Source organism: Homo sapiens, chromosome 8 (assembly GCF_000001405.40).
Source record: "Homo sapiens chromosome 8, GRCh38.p14 Primary Assembly".
NCBI classification, from domain to species: domain Eukaryota; kingdom Metazoa; phylum Chordata; class Mammalia; order Primates; family Hominidae; genus Homo; species Homo sapiens.
Window position 1 is genome coordinate 51973419 of NC_000008.11, and position 22908 is coordinate 51996326.

The following is a 22908-nucleotide window of genomic DNA, read 5'->3' on the forward strand; positions in this document are numbered from 1 at the left end:
TAATGTGGCAACTCTTAAAACCAGTTTCCCCTCAATCCCCAGGGTCTGTTGTTGTTTATGTTGCTCTTTGTTTGTTTAAAGTTTACAAGTAAAGCCTCTATTCTTTGTTCTGTGTAGCCTCTGAAGTATGTGCCTGATTAGCTTAGGGGTCAGTTAATGATTAGACAGAAACTTCCCTGAAGGCCTTGAGCCAATGTCTCCCACTCTTACAAGGGGCTCTGAGTACATAGTGGGGCACATCTGCAATGCTCTGGAAGTTTGCCACTCTGCCTTAACCTTGACTTCCTGTTTGCATAAGGCCTTAAGGTCACCTCCAGGTGAGAGATTTGGGACTTTTCAAGTCTTTACTGGTTATGTACACAGCCTTGTACATGTGTGGGTCTTTATTTTTCCTATGATATCTTGGACGTATTCAAAGTCTCCTATTGATATCTCATTCCCTGAATTTTCGTTTTAATATTTGTGGCCAGGCTCTTGCTTTCCCCAGCTGTATCTTGGGATCAGGCTTGCCGGGAGCTCCGTCATTTTCCTGCTCCTTCCGGTGGCTGCTGACTTTCATAGCAGGAACAGCTGCCAGGCTGCTGCCTTTCAAGGCTGCCATGGGGATAGGTGCAGAGGGGTGGAAGAGGCTGTTTACAACATCGTGAAGCTCACTGTTTCTGCCATGCTCTTGAATAAATATTTCTCAGATTGTTGTGAGCCTTTGGCTAATTTTCAGAGTTGTGAAGATGTTTATTCTGACCATGTTGACAGTGTTCACGTTGCTTTTTGGAGGAACAGATTTTCAGAGGTCCTTATCCCACCAATTTGGAAGTGTTTCTCCCAGCCTTCTTTTCTTTTCTTTTCTTTCTTTTTTTTTTTTTTTTTTTGAGACAGAGTCTCACTCTGTCACCCAGGCCGGAGTGCAGTGCCGTGATCTCAGCTCACTGCAATCTCCGCTTCCTGGGTTCAAGCGATTCTCCTGCCTCAGCCTCCCCAAGTAGCTAAGACTACAGGTGCATGCCACTGTACCTGGCTAAGTTTTGTATTTTTAGTAGAGACAAGGTTTCACCATGTTGGCCAGGCCAGTCTTGAACTCCTGGCCTCAAGTTATCCTCCCACCTCAGCCTCCAAAAGTGCTGGGATTACAGGCATGAGCCACCATGCCCCGCCTCCCAGCCTTACTTTTTACATCAGCTTTGCTCCATACAAGTGCCAGGGGTTACATAGGTAAACCTTATTTAGTTAATCTAATCACTGAAACATTTACATTAAATATTAAGTAATTATTTTAAATATATGAGGTGTGGTTATTTTTAAAAAGTAGCTGCTAACTTATTTTACTTCACTTAAGGCCTCAGATTTTAATTCTCGAATTTATCATGCATGAGAACCCTGACTCTTGCTCCTGACTGTACTTTAGAATCACCTAAGGAACTCTAAAAATACTGATGCTGAGGCTGTACCTCAGGCAAATTGAACTGGAATCTCTGTGGGTGGGACCCAAGCCTCTGCAATATTATTTTTAAGCTCCTCAGCTTATTCTTATTCTCAGAGAGGGTTGAAGGTTGACAATCCCACAGCGTTGTCTGGCACTAATTGATTTGACCTACTTTTTGAGTATTCAGACAAAGAAGGAGGAATGAGCTCTAGAAAAAGCAATGGACAGTGATTGCCACCAGAGGTAGGTCAGCCTCAGGAGTGTCTTCAGTGGTGAATAACACAAGCGATGTAAAAGTACTGAAAACTGAAAATCACAATACAAATAAATAGTTTTATTGTGTTTCAAAACTATTCTAAGAACCATATATGTACATATATGTCCATCTGTAGGAACTGGTTAATTCTGATATATTATCATATATTGGATATTTATGGAAAGGTTCCAAATGCAAAGCTTCTATTGACGCCAGGACATGCTACCCTCTTGGCATTGACGTATGACAGTATGCTCAGTATTGCCAACCAGAAAAGCATCCCTAGCTTCAATGTCCAGAGTTTTTATTGGGGCTTCATTTTGTAGGCATGATTGACTGTTGATTGATTACCCCGTGGTTGAACTCGGTCTTCCCACCAAAGGTTGGGCTGATATCACATGGCCAAATGGACCTACCATGAGTCGACTTGCTAACATGAACCATTAGCTCTGGTCTGCAGGAGGATGAACATGAAAAAAAAGGTGCTCCTATCATTCCAAAATTCCAAGGTTTTAGAGAGTATCTCTCAGGACAAGGTCAAATTCTTTCTTACACATACATGGAAACTAAGATTTAAGCTGTTAGGCTGGTGTTATTTAACAAAATCATAAAAATTGAAATTTGTAAATATGAAAATTGTGCATATATTTACACATGCATGAATTGCCTACAGAAAATAAAAAGCAATTTTTTATTTAGGAAAACGGTTTGTCAGAATGTACCAACAAGCCTTTAAAAAAGCATACATTAGATTCAGTGATCTCATACTGTGACTAATTCAAAGAGTAACATCAAATGTTCAAAAATTTATGTCAAAAAAATGAAAAATAACTTAAACTGGAAAATGTTCACATTTGAGGGAGTTTAATGCAGTTATTTTCATGCATAAAATTGAGAAATGTTTTTACATAATGTTACCTGAAAATGTATGTAAAATTATATGTGTAACATGATTCAACTTATATTTCAGAAGGCATACTAAATTTTGTGTAGTAGTTATCTTTAATTCCTAGAAAAAAAGTAAATTGCTAACTCATTTTGCTTTGCTATGTATTTCAATTTTTCTATAAGCTGGAGTTCTTAAAAAAATTAAAATTTAGGCTGGGCATGGTGGTTCACGCCTGTAATCCCAGCACTTTGGGAGGCTAAGATGGGTGGATCACTTGAGGTCAGGAGTTTGAGACCAGCCTGGCCAATGTGGCGAAACCTCATTTCTACTAAAAATACAAAAAAAATTAGCTGGGTATTGTGGCATATGTCTGTAATCCCACCTACTTGGGAGGCCGAGGCAGGAGAATCACTTGAAAATGGAGGTAGAGGCAGGAGAATCGCTTGCATCAGGAGGTGGAGGTTGCAGTGAGCCAAGATCATGCCACTGCACTCCAGCCTGGGCAACAGAGTGAGACTCTGTCTCAAAAAAAAAAAAATTAAAATTAAGATTTGAAACAGACATTAAGTAGTTCTGGGTTTGACATATTTCTTATTGAGGTACCAATTGAACATTGAAAAGTGATTTTTAAAGACACAAGCTATTTAGAAAAACAGGATTTAGAATAGACTTTTGTTGACCACATTCTATGCAAGATTTTTGGGATTGACTTTCTTGTCTAGGCATTTTTTGCGGGGGTAGGACTTCTATCAGATATTCAAAGAATATGCAAACTCAAAAAAGTTAAGAACCGCTCAGAGAAAATTTACAAAAGGAACACAACAGGTGAAACTGTAAAAAGAAGAAGGAAGAGTAATATTTTGATGGGGAAAACAAGTCATAAAGGGTTTTCTTTCTTTCTTTTTTTTTTTTGGGACGTTGTCTCGCTCTGTTGCCCAGGCTGGAGTGCAGTGGAACCATCTAAGCTCACTGCAAGCTCCGCCTCCCGGGTTCACGCCATTCTCCCGTCTCAGCCTCCCGAGTAGCTAGGACTATAGGCGCCCTGCCACTACGCCCGGCTAATTTTTTTTTGTATTTTTCGTAGAGAAGGGGTTTCACCGTCTTAGCCAGGATGGTCTCGATCTCCTAACCTCGTGATCCGCCCGCCTGGGCCTCCCAAACTGCTGGTATTATAGGGGCGAGCCACCGCGCCCGGCCAAAGGTTTTCTTAACCCAAAAAGAGCTAGTATTGCAGGACAGTTTAAAAGGTATGGGTTTTGAAATTGGTGGATCTGGGGTCAAAGTCCAGTTCCATCACTTAACTAGAATTGTCATATGAGCAAAGTTATTCAGCATCCCTGCTATGGTTTGAGTATTTGTGTTCCCCGCCCGAAGTTGTATGATGAAATTTAATCTCCAATGTGATAGTTGTAAGAGGTGGGGCCTTTGAGGAAGTGATTAAGTCCTGAGGGCAGAGCCCTCAGGGATGGGATTAGTGCCCACATAAAAGAGGCCAGAAGGAGTTTGCCCACTTCTGCCATGTAAGGACACAGCAAGAAGTCACCATCTATGAAGCAGACACCAAATCTGCTGGTGCCTTGATCTCAGACTTCCCAGGCTCCAGAACAATGAGCAATTTCTGTTGTTTATTCATCAATGCAGTCTAAGATATTCTGTCACAGCGCTGAAATTGACTAAGACACTCCTACAGTGTATTGTCTATATAGTCCAAGTCTAGAATGTTGATTACAGCTGGGTGAGAGTTGCTAAGTACTGTGCTTGACAGTTTACGTGTAGCAGTTCATTGATCTAATGACCCTAGGAGGCAGGTAATATTGTTCTCATTTTAAAGGTAAGAAAGGTGAGACTACGCAACAGGATAACAAGGAAACGTGCAGTCAGTACTTAGCATATGCTGGCAAAGAAAACTAGAAACTGCTCATTTCAACACCTATTGAGTGTAACAATATTATTCTTGCCGCAGAGCCATTCCTATCCTTTCCTATCTGCTCCTCTCCCTGATATATTGAAGACTGCTGGAAATACAAATTAACATTTTTACTTTAATCCACATTGATACCCTTGAAGGAGTAAATATTCCAAACATGGCCAATTAAATTTCCCCAGAGGGACTCTGGAACGCAGGTCAGACTGAATGTTCATTGAATAAAACAAGTCTGTTGAGAGATTTTACTCCAAGGCAAAAGTTCTGTAAATAGAATATAGTAATTTATTGTTGAGAATGATAAAGTTGTGATTATTGAGAATACCAAATTATACCCACTTCAGGAAGACTCCTTCTATTCATTCTCCATCCACTCCACAAATGTTTGTTGAGCAGCTAATTAGTGTCAGATCATCCATAGGATCCGGGCACAGCAGGGAACAGACAGACACAAACCTCCTTCCAGGCATGTGCTCTTAAGAGTGCCTTATGTGCTCTTCATGCCTCTTATGTCTAGCCATTTCAATGAGCATACGCACCATGGGGTAAATATGGATTTACATATTTCTGGAAAATTCCTGATTAAAATTGGATCTCAAGAAACTACAGTACTAGATTACTTGAAGCAGTATACCTCTGCCACCTGGTGACACACGCCGCAAATTTTAGGGATACTGCCTAAAGCAGTGGTCCCTAATCTTTTTGGCACAAGGGATTGGTTTTGTGGAATACAATTTTGCCATGAACTAGGGTGGGAGGGATGGTGTTGGGATGACTCAAGTGCAATTGTGCAATTTATTTCTATTATTATTACATTGCAATATATAATTAAATAATTATACAACTCATCATAATGTAGAATAAGTGGGAGCCCTGAGCTTGTTTTCCTGCAACAAGGTCCCATCTGGGGGTGATGGGAGACAGTGACAGATCATAAGACATTAGATTCTCATAAGGAACATGCAACCTAGATCCCTTGAATGCACAGTTCACAATAGTGTGGTTTGTGTTCCCATAAGAATCTTTTTTTTAATTTATTTTTTATTTTTCTTATTTTTTTGAGATGCAGTTTCACCCTTGTTGCCCAGGCTGGAGTGCAATGGCTCTATCTCGGCTTACTGCAACCTCCACCTCCCGGGTTCCAGTGATTCTCCTGCCTCAGCCTCCTAAGTAGCTGGGATTACAGGTGCCTGCCACCACGGCCAGCTAACTTTTTTTTTTGTATTTTTAGTAGAGACGGGGTTTCTCCATGTTGAGCAGGCTAGTCTTGAACTCCTGACCTCAGGTGATCCACTCGCCTTGGCCTTTCAAAGTGCTGGGATTACAGGCGTGAGCCACCGTGCCCGGCCATTCCTATGAGAATCCAATGCCACTGCTGATCTGACAGGAGGCAGAGCTCAGGCAGTAATGCCAGTGATGGGTAGTGGTTGTAAATACTAAAGCTTTGGTTGCTCGCCCGCCGCTCACCCCCTGCTGTGTGGCCCGGTTCCTAACAGGCCACAGAGCGGTACCAGTCCACGGCCCAGGGGTTGGGGACCCCTGTCCTAAAGGAAATAAGGTCATTTGTTAATCTTATAAACCTTGCATTATAGGACCATGTTGTGATACTTCTAGATCACATTTGTGTCAAAAAAGTTGTCTATTTTTTTTAATAAGACAACTGACACCAAAAAAAATTAAGTGAAGAGTAACTCTTACTTACAAAATTTCCAGTCCAAAATATTTTTGTAGTGGATTTCAAAGCACTGCCCAAGGAGTAGTGAAACTGCCTTTGCAAAATTATAACTGAGGAGATTATGACAGTGAAAGAAATCAGACCTAACCCACTCCATCTTGCTTCTAACCTTTAAACTGTCCTTGTTCATTCTTGGGGGTAGGCCAAACCAACTTTGGGAAGAAATTCAGTTCATGGTTTGACTCTGAAGCAAAACTGATAATAGCCCTTTCCCAAAAAGACTCCCTTCTTGCCTGGGGACCAGTCTACCTTTGCTGGACTAACAAATTAGCTACAAGATTAGAAATGACAGTTTAGGGGTCATTCAGCATCTGGCTCCAAGAGTCTGAACCTTCCCAAACTGGTCCTGGTGATAACATCACTATTGTAAAACTTAAGATCAGTTCTTGAGATATTTTGCAATATCTCATGCAATATCTCATAGCTGCACTCAGTGGATCAGCTGACACTATCTAGACCAGTAATCTGGCTCAACCAGTTCTGCCATCCCACCCAGAACAGAAAGCAGCAAGAAAAACTCACTAAGATTCCACCTCCAACCTGGCCGCACTCCCCACTTTCCAAGCTCCTACCCGCCAAATTTTCTTTAAAAACTCTGATCCCTGAATGTTCCGGGAGACTGATTTGAGTAATAGTAAAATTCTGGTCTCCCACACAGCTGGCTCTGGGTGAATTACTTTTTCTCCGTTGCAAGTCCTTTGTCTTGATAAATTAATTGGCTCTGTCTAGGCAGCAGACAAGGTGAACCCATTGGGTGGTTACAGTAATCCTAAAAGAGTTACAGACTTAACTCTTACAATACAAATATTTATGTGAAGTTGTTGGTAAGTCCATTCCTTGCCAAAATTGTTAATTAATATTATTGCAAAGAAAATGTCACTTAATCTCTTCCTTTTTGTTCATTCTTTCATTTTCTCTTTGTGGCAGTAATGAAGAGTAGCAGAAGAATGTATTACTCAGGGTTCTTAAAGTTCTTAATCTACCAGAGTTTGTAACATGATTCTTATTTCTTTTTACCTAGTAGCATAGATGAGACAATTCATGTGTTTTGCTAACAGAGCAAATGTAGTCAATGTTGAAATGTAAAACTCCATTAGTTTCTATATGGGTCACTTAGCTTTGTGGTATCTCATGGCCATAGAATGTGGCTTTAACTAACTGTGGTCAGCCATTGTGAAAATATGCACCGAAAGTTATCCAGCGGATTGGGTGAGAGGCGATAACAAGGTAGAAATCCACCAACACCACAGAAAACCAGCTTCAGGCAACTATCCTCCTTGGTAACTGGCTGTCATTGTTATCCTAAATCTGAGGTAATAAACACTATGTAACAAATTATTGACGGATTATTTATTATTCATGACAGTCCAGATGAACAGATATCTTTGCGTTTCAAATGACTGATGTCCAGTGACAGATACACTGTCACAGATAGAAACCTTTTAAGAAAATTATTTATTTTATTTGTATTTGACATTACAAAAGGACTTTAAAGCACCAATCCTTTTCCAGTCATTATAGGAAAGCCTCATACACATGTGCATGTTATATGAAAGCCTCACCCACATGAGCACATAGACGTGCTTGACAAAACCATGGAGCTGAGCTGCGTAAGAATGCTCTGTCTCAGTGTAAACTGCTCGGGTGACGGTGCACCAAAATCTCACAAATCACACTAAAGAACTTACTTATGTAACCAAATACCACCTGCTCCCCAAAAACCTATGGAAACAAAAAATTTAATATAATAATAGTAAAGAATGCTCTGTCTTTCTGTTAGAAATAAGAATGCCTCTCTCAGTTGTTTTTTCTCACCCGACAGTCAAGGTTTGTGTTGTGGGAGTGGAGGCAGGGCTAGGTAAAGAGTTAATAACATTTACCTATGGGCAAAAAAAGCCAAAAAAATTAATTAGAAAATTAGTTTTACACAATAGTGGTTGGCTATTGATATTTTTTCTCAGAAAACATTTTAATGTTTAGTTCTTTCCATTGTGAAAACCCAAAACCAAGCGTACACTGGTAGTGGCTTCTCTCCCTTAAGGTCTTAGCATTCAAACTTGCAAATTACAATTAGATTAAAAAGTTCAATACTTCAAAGGGGTTGCTGAGTTCTAAGGAGGGAATGATGAACTGTTAATTTTGTTCTCCTAATGCAGCCTTTAGTGATTTTCAAAGTGACTGTGTTTATAGAAATTATTTAAGCAGACAATAGAGCAAACCTTTTTTTTTTCTGAGACAGTGTCGCTCTGTCACCCAGGCTGGAGTGCAACGGTGCAATCTCGGCTCCCTGCAACCTCTGCCCTCCCGGGTTCAAGCGATTCTCCTGCCTCAGCCTCCCGAGTAGCTGGGATTACAGGTGTCTGCCACCACGCTTAGCTAATTTTTTGTATTTTTAGTGGAGATGTGGTTTCACCATGTTGGCCAGGCTGGTCTCGAACTCCTGACCTCAGGTGATCCACCCACCTAGGCCTCCCAAAGTGCTGGGATTACAGGTATGAGCCACTGTGCCCAGCCAGAGCAAACTTTTTTTTTTTTTTTTGACATGGAGTCTCACTCTGTTACCCAGGCTGGAGTGCAGTGGCGCAATCTCAGCTCACTGCAAACTCCGCCTCCCGGGTTCAAGCGATTCTCCTGTCTCAGCCTCTTGGGTAGCTGGGACTACAGGTGTGCCATCACACCTGGCTAATTTTTGTGTTTTTAGTAGAGACGGGGTTTCACCATGTTGGTCAGGCTAGTCTCGAACTCCCGACCTTGTGATCCGCCCGGCTCGGCCTCCCAAAGTGCTGGGATTACAGGTGTGAGCCACTGTGCCCAGCCAAAGCAAACTTTTAACACACTAAACAGCTATGATCATTTGTTGACCATAACTCTAATAAATGTCAAGGAAGCAAGAATACTTTTCAGAGCTTTCCCAATCAGTCAGAATATGCAATGGCTCTCTTAGAGGGAAGCATGGGTGATAATAGGACACACTTTGCAGAGCATCATGTAAATAACATTTTTTGATGACCTACATTAATTTAGGTATTCAACTGTGAGGTTGTAACGTAATTATCTCTACTTTTATTTGAAGTAACACACATGCTTGTATATTTGAAAGTTGGTCATATAGATGGGGTCATTCTTGTCACACTCAACTGAAACAGAGTCAAGAGCCGGGGGAGAAAGCACTTAGGGCACAAAACATTGCTCCAAAACTGTAATCCACTGCAAGCTGGCTATTAAAGCTGGCTACTGTAGCCTGAAACCAGGTTTACCTAATAGCTACTGAAATAACTTGTTGCAACTCCACCAGTCATGCACAAATCAGAGCTTGCCAGCTTGCCAAAACTTTACTAGTGCCAATAAATTTTCTTTCAAAACAATATGTAACATTGCTCCTTTTTGTAAAATGCCCAAACTTCTCTTTGTTCTTCAGACACACTGAAGAGCATCTCATCTGTATGTATGCCCCGAGTTGCAATTCTTGCTTCCCAAATAAAATGTTTTAAATTTAGAGATTTATCTCTATATTTTATATGACTTTGACTTATTTGTAGTTTTTGTTTATTTTGTTTGAGATCAGATCTCGCTCTGTCACCCAGGCTGGAGTGGAGTGGTGGAGTGGCATGATATAGTTCTCACTACAGCTTCGAATTCCTGGGCTCAAGCAGTCCTCCTGGCTCATCCTCCCATGTAGCTGATACTATAGGTGTGAGCCACTTTGCTTGACTAATTCTTTTTTTTTTTTTAAGTAGAGATGAGATCTTAGTGTGTTGTCTAGGCTGATATCCAACTCCTGGGCCTCAAGTGATCCTCCTACCTCAGCATCCCAAAGCCCTGGGATTACAGGTGTGAGCCGTTCACATAGTTTTAAAAGTCAAATTGTCCTTCATCAATTTCCTGTCTTCACCTCCCTATCCCAAATCTTGCTCCTAGTTACAATCACTTTTAGCTTATTTAGCAATGTCCAATGGTCTTACTTTTAAATATCATATTTTGTTGTCATTTTTTGTTTTTTTGAGATGGAGTCTCACTCTGTTGCCCAGGCTGGAGTGCAATGGTGCGATCTTGGCTCACTGCAACCTCCACCTCCCAGGTTCAAGCGATTCTCCTGCCTCAGCCTCCTGAGTAGCTAGAATTACAGGTGCCTGCCGCCACACCTGGCTAATTTTTGTATTTTTGGTAGACATGGGGTTTCACCATGTTGGCCAGGCTGGTCTCAAACCCCTGACCTCAGGTGATCCACCCTCCTTAGCCTCCCAAAGTGCTGGGATTACGGGCGTAAGCCACCACGCCCGTCCTTGTTGTCATTTAAAATTTGTCTTTATTACTCATGATTTTTTACTTTCTATTATGGAAAATGAAGATTAAGCCATGTTATCCACCCACAACTTCCTTTCTCTCCAGCTTGCTATTATATGGTTTTATGGGACTTTGCATTCAGCATGATTAGCAAGTTCAGAGGAAAGCATGCTTTTTGGCAACCACCCTCCCTAATCCTCCAGCATGCTATCTGGCCCTATCTAACTCTAGGCCTCTTTTCTAGTATCCCTGGTACCCTGTGCTCCAGGCACAAAGGGCAGTTTACCCTTCTGAGTGCACCCCGGGGCCTCAAATACTTTCCTCACCCAGGGCCAGCTGCACCTGCCTCTGCACCTTGCAGACCCCTCACCCCTTCAAGCCTCACCTCTTCAGAAGCCTTCCCCTCCTCGCCAAGCAGAGGCTGCCACTCCCTTGCTGCATTCCCATGACACCATCCTAGTACCTCTGCTGCAGCCATTATTGGGTTAAAGAAGATTAGCGGCAAAATGGATCATTTAAGAGTGTTTTCATCCTGTCATGTTTTTCCAAACCAGAAGTGGAAGGGACAAGACTAAAAGCTGAAGGGAGTAGAAGTAGAAAAACTAGCCTTATTTTATTTATTTATTTATTTTTTCTAGGAAGACTGAGGGAAATGCAAGCAGTATTCCTAGGGTCTCTATGCTCATGTAAAGAGTTTGAGAAACATGTCTTAAGTCCATGGGATGCATGGCTGGTGCCTTCCCTCCCGATGTCCCCAGCAGTCACTATGGGCCAGTAGGCCTGACTTCTGAGCCAGCATCTGGTGTCCTCATGAGACTCAGCTCCAGGAGCCCCAAGGGGAACCCGCTTGTTATCACACACCTTAGTGGCTTCTTTCCCTTCCTGTTTCATTTCTCCACCCTCTACCGGTAGAGTTTCTTGGAATCAACTCCCAAATCATTGACTTACCTACTCCTTTTTTCAGAGTCTGGTCCTGGGAGAACCTAAGAAAGGGCTCAACTCATTTCAAAATTACTTAAGGTTGCATGCACTATGCCCGGACTGACCTCACTAGGGTCAGGATCCGCATGTGCCTTCCTTTCCTGCCAGATGGGTGGCAAATGCCTTATATTATTGATCTGACTCTTAACAGATTCTTTGTGAAATGAATAAATGTATGGATGAATGAAAGATGTCCCATAGGAGCCATAAGGTAATACAAGGGATTTCTAAAATTCAACAAGTTAGATTCCCTATTGCTTCTCTATTTCAGCAAACACATCCACTCATCATGAACTGGCTCATCTTAAGTAGTGAATAGGCTCATTAAATATTTTAGTGACATTCACACTCCCTTAATGAGTTGTTTTTTCCAAACTTACATAGCATATTATTGGCTTTAAATATATTTTCACTATTTAATAATAATAATAATGTTTCAGCAGAGGAATTTTTAATTTAGAGTTTAATGATCCTAGAGACTCATTACTTTGCTTTCTTGAAATACAGAACCAAAACATTTTCATCTCATCCTAAATCACTTTTATTAAGCTAATTTTCTCCACCACTGAATTTAGAGGAAATCCTCTTAATTTGGAGCCAGACATTATGTAAGATATGTGGTCTTAAACATATAAGTAAATATTAAAATAACATATTTTCTATATTATGGAGGATATTTAAATTGATATTTTAAAGAATCAATATACAGAAACTGAAAGGAATAAGTGTTATTTTTAAGTTGTCAGGAATCAGGTTTAAGATATTAAAAAAATATATATATATATACATATTCAGCCAAAGATGGTTGATACCTTTCATATCACATGCATAGCTGGAAGGCATTATAATTTGGTGGCATCCAAAGCAAATGTTGTTTGTCCTTTCTCTATCACTGCATGTGAACACAGCTTCAGGGATAGCACACTTCTTACTTTTTAACTCACATTCATGTGCTGCTAGGGTTTTGCTATAGGTGGAATATTTGTGTCTCTCCAAAATTCATATATTGAAGCTGGCTCAATACCAAATGTGACAGTATTTGGAGGTGAGGATTTGGGGAGGTAATTAGATCATGATGGTGGAGCCCTTATGAATGGGATTAGTTTCTTTATATAAGAGACTGAGGACACAGTGAGAAGGTGGCCATCTGCAAACCAGAAGGAGAGCCCGAGCCAGCAACTAAATAGGCCAGCACCTAGGTCTTGGACTTTCCTGCCTCCAGAACTTTGAGAAATAAATATTTGTTGTTTAACCTACCAAGTCTGTGGTATTTTTTAAAATAGCAGCCTCAGTTGAATAGCAGGTTTCCAAGAGTGAACTTTCACATGAGGCTCAGAGGAGGGCTCAGGAGGATTTGGCGGTGGGGATGGGGGTTGGTTCTCAGAAGACCATCTTGTCCCTGACAATCCAGCATTTGGTGAGTGACACTGGTCGGGTCACTTTTCTGGGCCTAAGAATTTCCAACTCATAGAGAAATGGTACGGTCTGCCCTTCACACTCTCTGAAATAGTGTGAGGATGAGATGAAACACTGATATGAAAAATGCCTTAAAATCTGTAAAAACTCATACATGAGTAAAGGTTTTGTTTATTCTAAGATTTATGTCTGCCATTTCTATTTTATGGAGGGAGAGACAATGAAATATTTTAGGTGTAAGGGGAAGGAAGAAGAGAGATAAGTGAATACCCACCTTATTGTATTGATTGGATGTCAAATCAACAGACACAAATTTTTCCCTTTAATTTCCACTGGTCAACTTCTCAGGTTCCTAGTTTTCTCCTACCTAACATAAAGGTTTGGAATGGTTTCTAAATTCTTTTGAGATACTATGAGGATAGGTTTCTACTAAATTTATGGATCACTTTTAGAAGGAATTTACTAACTATATGCTGTGGTTCCTTTGGAGAAAGTCCGTACTACAAAATTATGTTTATTTAGAATTAAAATTCCATTTTGGAATGTAAGCCCTTCTCATTTCTATCACACCTCAGTCATTTCTGTCATGAACAGTAGGCACCCCCACAAAGCCTACATAATTTTCTAGGCTGACAACGACTCGCTTCTTGACCAAACTGTAGTCAGGCTCCTCTGAACCCTTTTCTTGACTAGGCCTCAACCTCAACCTTTGCCTGTGAAAACTTGAAAACTGTAGACTCTCAGCACAGATGAGTTTGCTCACCTTCTGCACTAAGAGATTGAATAAACAGTCACATAGTTTCTAATAGCTCAAGGCCATGCCCCTGGAATGATGACTCCAAACCCGGTAAGTTTTTGCCTGGAAAAGCTCAAGGCTTCCAAAACAATTCACGGTGTGTTCCAGCTAAAACCTGCTCGTCTTCTAGGCTCTGTGGGAGGGTAAGACCCTGTCTTCCATGAGCACCAGTTAGCAAACCCGGATGGCCTAGGCACTTGGACCAGCCCCTGACTGATTTTTGTATTTTTTCACTTCTCTGACTCTACTGAGCCCCCACTGGCCCTCTTCCTACTCCCTCATTCTCCTTTTATAGCACAAAGTCACCTCTGCACAAATCTGAGTTGAGTTCAGTTCATTCTGGACTCTTTTCCCTATTGCAACAGTTATTCCTGGTTAAACGCTGTCCTTACCACTTGAACTAGTGTCCTCCTGCTTGGTTATCTCTTGACAAGGCCCAGTGCAAAATGAAAACACAGGTCTCATGTTCAAAAAGCATGAAAAAGTGTTATTACAGGTACTAAAATATAAAGTTTTTTTCTTTTCATCTAACATCTATTTCTGAACTGGTTTTTGTTTCGGTTTTCATTTTGTTGTTTAGTATTAAGTAAAGAAGGTTTAAAATTTTAAATATTAGATGAAGTTTATCATTCATCTTTATACTGTGCAATGCCATTTTTAAATGTAGGTGTAAAGCATTTAACTCTTATCACAGAAATTACACAAGTTATACTTGTACATGTCTATGCATTTCATTTTTAAGAGAATAGTGAAAATACTTGTGATCTGAGAGACCAAAATAGATGCCCCATTATCAACTAAGATGAACTCTAAAGTTAAGGAAGTTACCTATGGGTCCAGGGTTCAGGGCAGCTGGCATGGCAACTCCCTAAATTTCTACAGCTACAAGAAAAACCACGGTCTTGCTAAATTTGCTAAGAATAGGAGCTATTACACAAATTATCACATTCCTCCTAACTTTGATTTATAACTCAGATCACTGCAACTCTGGACAGAGTACTGACCTTACAAATACTCTTTTCTGACAAGCAACTGCAGACCTTAAGCTAGTTTCAGCAGCTTATAGAAAGTGCACACAAACTGTCCCTGTGTCTTGTAGTTCACCTTTTGATGTAAAGAACCAAATTCCATCTCGTTTGTTTGTCTGTTTTTGAGATGGAGCCTTGCTCTGTCACCCAGGCTGGAGTGCAGTATCAGGATCTTGGCTCACTGCAACCTCTGCCTCTTGGGTTCAAGTGATTCTCCTGCCTCAGCCTCCCGAGTAGCTGGGCTTACAGGCACCCGCCACCATGCCCAGCAATTCTTTTGTATTTTTAGTAGAGACAGGGTTTCACCACATTGGTCACGCTGGCCTCAAACTCCTGACCTCAAGTGATCCACCCGCTTTGGCCTCCTAAAGTGCTGGGATTACAGGTGTGAGCAACTGCACCTGGTCCCACCTCTTTTTGATGCTAAAACCCCACTCCAAAGTAAACATGGGATGTACGTTACATACATGTTTACCCATTGCATATGTGCTTGGCTCCCCTAATAAGTATGTCTAGCTTTCCCCCCTCAACATGCTGAATCCGTAGGACTCTATGATGTAACACAGACTTGCAGGGCATAAAACCCAAGCTGCCCTTTCCCTCTTCAAAGAGAGCACCTTCGATCCTTGCTACAAACTGTCTTTTCCTGATTTGCAAACTCATAGCACCAAAAAAGCTCTCCTTTCTACTGTTTAGCAATTCTGGTGGTCTTTTGGAGGACACATTGCACAAAGTAACTTTCTGTTTTGGTTCTTGATATGTGCACATTCTACCAATGCTCTCTGCCTTTGGCTTAGCAACAAGTAAGAGAGAACTGAAAGGTAAAAGTACTTTGTGTTGCCCCTTTTCCCTTTTCTTCCCATCATTATCTTCAGCAAATGTAGGGAAGAATGTAAGCAGGAATGAGTATGAGAGGACTCCTTGGTGGTTCGTATTTCTTAGCACACTTTCTGCCTTCTACTGGCAAGTTCTGGCTTGCAGGGAAAGCCTGTCCTCTCTTGGCTGTCTGCCATAGACTTTATTTTTATTTTATTTTATTTTTTTGAGACAGAGTCTTGCTGTCACCCATGCTGGAGTGCAGTGGCGTGATCATGGCTCACTGCAACCTGTGCCTCCTGAGTTCAAGGGATTCTTCTGCCTGAGCCTCCTGGGTAGCTGGGACTACAGGGACATGACACCATGCCCAGCTAATTTTTCTGTATTTAGTAGAGACAGGGTTTCACTGTGTTGGCCATGCTGGTCTCAAACTCTTGACCTTGAATAATCTGCCCTCCTCGGCCTCCGAAAGTGTGGGATTACAGGCGTGAGCCACTGCGCCTGGCTGATAGACTTTAGGCACTCACCTGGTCCTCACTTTGAATCTCTCTGAACTCCAGTGTGGCCCGGGTCCACTGGAATTCTGTTGTCATGGGGCGTCAGTGGGCTCTATATATCAATGAGGCTACAAGGAGCAGACCTGATCTCCTGTGCTCATGCACAGGCTCCGTTGTCCCATTGTACCTCACTGACAAAGCACAAGTTCAGAGATAAAATTATTAAGAATTTTAAACCAGCGACAGCAGAAAATTCAGCCAACCATGGGTGCTTCTGAAAGCCAAGCCACACGTGACTGCAAAGGTTGTGCAGTAAGCCGGTGCTAGCTCCCATTGCACCAATTGTTCACTGCGTCCTCAAGACTGCATGACTGATTACAACTGTTCACTGGTTTCCTCTTCTGTTTAGAATACCCTCTGCTCTCTTCTCTAAGTGGCTAATTCATTCTAAACTGGCAACTGTACCCAAGAGATCATTCTTGATTCATGCAGGTAGACTTACTAGTTATTTCTCCTTTGTTCCAATAGCATTTAGACTGTTTGCCAATGATCACCTTCATCACTTACAACACTGTGAAGACCTGTGCATTTATACACAAGAATAAACAAGAGTCCAGGCAAGGTTTTATTTATCATTATCTTTTCCCTTCTCCCTCCACCCACTGACCACATGCAGTAGGAACTCCAACGTTGGCTGAATAATAGGCTAAGGCTTTAAAATGACAAGAAACACTAGTTAGCATGAGTATAAATTACGATCTTAGGATCATTTGACTCCAAATAGTCCTAATTTTCAATTTTTCATTTAGCAAACAGGCTCTATTGTAGGCCCTCTGTAGAAGAGAGAAGGACAGAGGCAAATCCCTGTCTCCTGGAGCTTATGCTCCTAGTGAGGCGGGGTGTGATGGTGAGCTTTCAGCAGTAGGTAATTGTGTGATGTGAGCTCAGTTAATGCTACCAAGAGAAAGGAAAGATGGTCAAAGGATTAAGGGTGGCAGGTGCTGTTAAGACAGGGCTGTAAAGGAGGCATCTGAGTGCAGGCAGGAAGAAGTGGGGCGAGCACATGCTCCCCTTCTGGGGGAGAGCACCCAGGCAGGCACCTGGGAGCAGGGACATGGTAGATATACTTGAGGAGGAGCAAAAGGCTGAGCATGAAACTTTAAAGAGAAACAGTATGTTTGCACAGCTTCCAAAATATTTTCTCCTCACTATGGTACTTTTAATATAGATCCATACAGAATTTGATACTTCTCCCTCCAGGGGTGGAGCTTGACTCTCCTCCCCTTGACTGCAGGCTGGCTTCTAACAAATGGGGCACAGAAAGGGAAAAAGAGCATCTTCACAGTGGAGAAAACTGCCATTTCCCTCAGGACTTGGAAGATAATGTTCATCGCTTAATAGCAACTTAATGGGCAGTAAGGATTCTGCTGCCAATTTGGTTCTCATTCCCCCAGCTTCTATCTGAATGCTGTTAACAGTTTTATTTGTCCTTTGGGTTCTTTTATTTTATCAGGATGTGCACAGGTGTTGGTCTGGGACTACTTATCCCAAGTGGTATCTGATTAGTGATATTAGTTTGGACGTTTTTCCCCTCCAAATTTCTTGTTGAAATTTGATGCCCAGTATTGGAGGTTGGGCTGAATGGAAGGTGGTTGAGTCATGGGGGGAGATTCCCCCTTGAATGGCTTGGTCCTGTCCCTGCAGCAAGGAGTGAATTCTCTCTCTATTAGTTCATGTGAGAGCTAGTTGTTTAAAAGAACGTGGCACCTTCCCCTCTGTCTTGCCATGTGACATGCCAGGTCCCCTTCTCCTTCTGCCATGGGTGGAAGCTTCCTGAAACCCTCACCAGAAGCAGAAGCTGAAGCCATGCTCCTTGTCCAACCTGCAGAGCCATGAGCCAAATAAACCTCTTTATTAATTACCAGCCTCAGGTGTTCCTTTATAGCAGCACAAAATTGATCAATACAATTAGCAATTTGAATTTAAAGATGTATGTTTCAGCCCAGTGCGGTGGCTCACACCTGTAACCCCAGCATTTTGGGAGGCTGAGATGTGAGGATTGCTTGAGCCCACGAGTTCAAGACTAGCCTGGGTGACATAGCAAGTTCTCATCTCTACTAAAATTCAAAAAAATTTGCTGAGTGTGGTGTGCATACCTGTAGCCTCAGCTACTTAGGGGGTTGAGGCAAGCAGATCACTTGAACCTGGGAAGTTGAAGATGTGGTGAGGATGTGGTGAGCTGTAATCCCACCATTACACTGCAGCCTGGGGGACAGAGCAAGACCAAAAAAAAAAAAAAAAAAAAAAGGACTTGTGTGTGGGAAATATTATTCTTGATTTCTTTCCCTCTATTATTTCATTTGTTTCATCCTTCTAGAACTCCTGCTAAAAGCATGTTAGAGTTTGTGGATTTATCTTTCCTGCCTTGTAAAATGTTTTCTAATATTGTCCATCTCTTTGTCTTTCTCTTTTATGTTCTTGGAGAAGTTTTGACTTTGTCTTTTGACTCTGTATTTTAGATTATTAATTTACTTTAATCGTGTCTATTTTTTAAAGCATGGCTGTTCTAATTTTAAAAAAATTTTTGCAGTTGCATTTAAAACCATTTAAAAAGTCATGTTTATTAAGTGAAACTTACACAGAATAAAATTTACCCTTCTTAGGGTATAGTTCTATGAATTTTGACAAAGGCATAGACTCGTGGAACCATGACCACAATTAAGATATGGAATAATTCCATTACCCTAAATTACAATCACCTTTTAAATTATTGTTTTGGTTCCTTTTTCTATGCAAAGTTGTTCTTTTAGCAAAGCGGGAGGCATCTTACCGCCCAACTTCAAACTGTACTACAAGGCTACAGTAACCAAAATAGCATGGAACTGGTACAAAAAAAGACACATAGACCAATGGAACAGAGTAAAGAACTCAGAAATAAGACTGCACATCTACAACCATCTGATCTTTGACAAACCTGACCTGAAAAAACGAACAATGGGGGAAAGGATTCCTATTTAATAAATGGTGCTGGGAGAACTGGCTATCCATATGCAGGAAATTGAAACTGGACCCCTTCAATACGCATATAAAAATTAACTCAAGGTGGATTAAAGACTTAACTCAAGGTGGATTAAAGACTTAATGTAAAACCTAAAACTATAAAAACCCTAGAAGAAAATCTCGGCAGTACCATTCAGGACATAAGCATGGGCAAATATTTCATGACAAAAACACCAAAAGCAATTGTGACAAAAGCAAAAATTGACAAATGGGCTCTAATTGAACTAACGAGCTTCTGCACAGCAAAAGGAACTATCATCAGAGTGAACAGACAATCTACAGAATGGGAGGAAATTTTTGCCATCTATCCATCTGACAAGGGTCTAATATCTGGAGTGTACAAGGAACTTAAACAAATTTAAAGAAAAATACAACCCCATTAAAAAGTGGGGAAAGGACATGAACAGGTATTTCACAAAAGAAGACATAAATGCAGCCAACAAACATATGAAAACAAGCTCAACATCACTGATGATTACAGAAGTGCAAATCAAAACTACAATTAGAAACAATCTCATGCTAATCATAATGACTATTATTAAAAAGTCAAGGATCAACGGATGTTGGTGAGGTTGCAAAGAAAAGGTAATGCTTTTACACTGTCGGTGGGAGTGTAAATTAGTTCAACCATTGTGGAAGACCATGTGGCAATTCCTCAAAGATCTAGAAGCAGCATTTGACCCAGCAATCCCATTATGGCTATATACCCAAAGGAATATAAATCATTCTAATATAAAGATACATGCACACATATGTTCACTACAGCACTATTCACAATAGTAAAGACATGGAATCAACCCAAATGTCCATCAATGATAGGCTAGATAAAGAAAATGCAGTATATATACACCACGGAATACTATGAAGCCATAAAAAGGAACAAGATCTTGTTCTTTGCAGGGACATGGATGGAGCTGGAAGCTCTTATTCTCAGCAAACAAATGCAGGAACAGAAAACCAAACACCACATGTTCTCACCTATAAGTGGGAGCTGAACGATGAGAACACGTGGACACATGGGGAGGAACAACAGACACTGGGACTTGTTGGGGGTCCGGGGGAGGGAGAGCATCAGGAAGAATAGCTAATGGATGCTGGGCTTAATAGCTAGGTGATGGGTTGATCTGTGCAGCAAGCCACCATGGCATACATTTATGTATGTAACAAACCTGCACATCCTGCACATCCTGCACATGCTGCAAGTGTACCCTGGAACTTAAAATGAAACTTGAAGAAAAAAAAGTTAAAAAAAGAAAGCTTTTTTTTTTAGAGCAAATTAATTTTGTTCTAAAATATTTTCTGTTTCCTGAATTATTTTAGACTTTTCAGAATCAATTGCTCTGTCTGGTGGTTCTCCGCCCTCCCCCACAGATTGCTGATGAGGATTTCTCGGCAATTCATCACAGGTCCCTTTCTCTCTCCAGCAAGTCTCTCGCTTGAGTGAGAGCTGCATGCATGCAGGATCTGTGGAGGCGTGTGCCACCCGTAAGAGGAGCAGGCTGTGTGCACGGCAGGCTTTACTTTAGGGCCAGTGGGCACGATGCAGTCAGATGGACTGAAGTTCCCAAAGGTAGCAAAGGAAAGCCGCCTTCACCTTGGCTGTGGACTTCCACTCTGGGTGAAAGTTCCTTTCTTTATTCTTTTATGCTTGTCATGAAGGGCCAGAGGTTCTTGAGACACACGTTCCCTCTCTCAGGTATCTACTCCCCATTAGAAACCTTCCTGAGACAGTAGTTCTCTTTCTTCTGATGGCATGTTTCAGCTGGAAAGCACTTGTTGAGACCCACTGCTGATTGCTACCGTAGTCTCTGTGTGTGTGTTGTGGGGGTGGATCTGGGGGCAACCGGTCCACCTGCTCCACAGGAGGTGCTCATTATCATGGCCCAGATCCCTTGGCCTCGCCTCGGGGCTTAAGGTTCCCTGTAGTGTGCACCTTTTCATCTTTTCTTCTGCCCCGTGGCTTGCACTATGGTTTCCTTTACACACCTCAATCTGTCCAGGAATTGCTCAAAAGTTCTCTTCCATTCATACCTATTCCCTGTTTCCCACCACTGTTGTGGATTTCTTGTTTCTATCCTTCCTTCTTTTCTTTCGGCCTCTCTCTGTGCTTCCCTTCTTCCCTCTCTGCCTCTCTCCCTTCTTTCCTCAGTTCCTTCTTCTTGTGTGTTGTGTCATTTTTAAGGGATTTGTGTTTGGAAAGAAATTGGACTCTGTTCTCAGTCTACTATCTTAATCCAATCTTTATCGTTTATTTGACACTTTATTTTGTCAAAGTCAAATAAAATAAAGAGACAAATCCCTAAAATGAAAATGCTTTATTTGGGAGAAAAGAATCACAGTTCAGGGCATACACGCAGACTGGAAGGTCTTTAGTGAGTCCCAAGGAAAAAGAGGTTAGAGGTTTTATAGGAAGGAGAAATATTGCATATTGCTGTTTGAGAAATTTCACTGGCAGGTTCTGAGGAGCTGGCAAGTTCTGATTGGTGAGCGATGGCAGTGGGCAAAACTAGTCTTAGAATTGTAACAGGTTGTTTCGGTAGTCATTAGATGAAACTGTTTTCAAGTTACAGCAGGCAGCTTCAGCTGCCAGGCTTGCAGAAAATTACATTTTTGGAGCAATATTTTGTGCCCTGAGTACTTTTACCCTTGGCCTCTTCATTCAATTTGTATGATAAAGAAGAATGACCCACTTTGTATGAAAAACTTTCGCAATTTGTATACTCATTACAGAGGCAAGGTAGTATAATGGTTGAGAGGGTGTACTCTGATACCAGAGAGCCTGAGTTAGAATATCAGCTCTTTTGCATAATATCTGTGTGACCTTGGACAAGTTGCTTTATTTTTCTGTGCTTCAGTTTTATCTGTAAAATGGGATAAAAAATAGTTTCCATTTTTATCCCATTTAGTCCCATAGAATAGTCTTCTATGAGACTGTTCTAAGGATTAAAAGTGAATATATGTAAGTCACTTAGAACATTGCCTGGCACACATATTATTATTGTTTTATGTAATATGTTCTTAAAATTCAATGAGTTATCTCTTTAATATGTTTTTTTAATGTTTGGTTTTATAGATTGCGCCAACAATTCATTTTATTTACTTATTCTTAAGGTAGAGCAACATTATTTGTATGAAATAGTTGCACAATATATCAACAACTACTAACAACTCAAATATATAACAATTATAGAATTAATAAGTAAACCACAGAATATATTATAAATTAAAAGGCAGACATGGAAAAATAGATTCATGAAAATTTTTGTATTAAAAAAGACAAGAAAAAATAGAATAATGTTATTTTTCCATTGATTTTATATATAACTGAGTTCTTAAAGAATGGAATCAGAAAAGTTGTACTTTACCATTTTTAACATGGTGGATTATTATTTTAAAGGCAAAGGTAAAGAGAAGAGACACTGTGATTTATTTAACAACCATGCCAATTTTCAGGTACCTCTAAGCTCTTCCAGTCATGGGCATAGACAATGCCTGCTTTCACCGAGGCTGTCTGGAAGCAAAGGCTCCACCACCATAATTGCCACTGGGACCCACCCTAGTCTAAGGAAATGATTCCAAGACACTCTATTTTTCTTAAATGAAATAGCCCTTTGTGTCTCAACCTTTTGAAGGCAGCCCAACCCACCTATATTACAACACCACAGCTAGATTCAGATTTTCCAGCAAGATTTTTCCAATGAAGAACAAAGCTTTATTGTAGCTTAGATGACAGGACTCCAAAGAAGTCTGGAAAAGAGGAAAAAAAAGCTCATATTAAACAATAGGCAGTATAATGTAAGTTAAAA

General features: G+C 40.9%; 1 long non-coding RNA gene across 1 annotated transcript in view; it reads left to right on the forward strand.

Moving 5' to 3' along the window:
• Positions 1-202: 202 nt before the first annotated feature.
• LOC124901944 (uncharacterized) overlaps positions 203-22908 on the forward strand; it is a 49354-nt gene continuing 26648 nt past the window's right edge. The window contains exon 1 of the long non-coding RNA XR_007060910.1: positions 203-317. This is a non-coding gene — a long non-coding RNA (uncharacterized LOC124901944). The remainder of the gene's footprint in view (positions 318-22908) is intronic.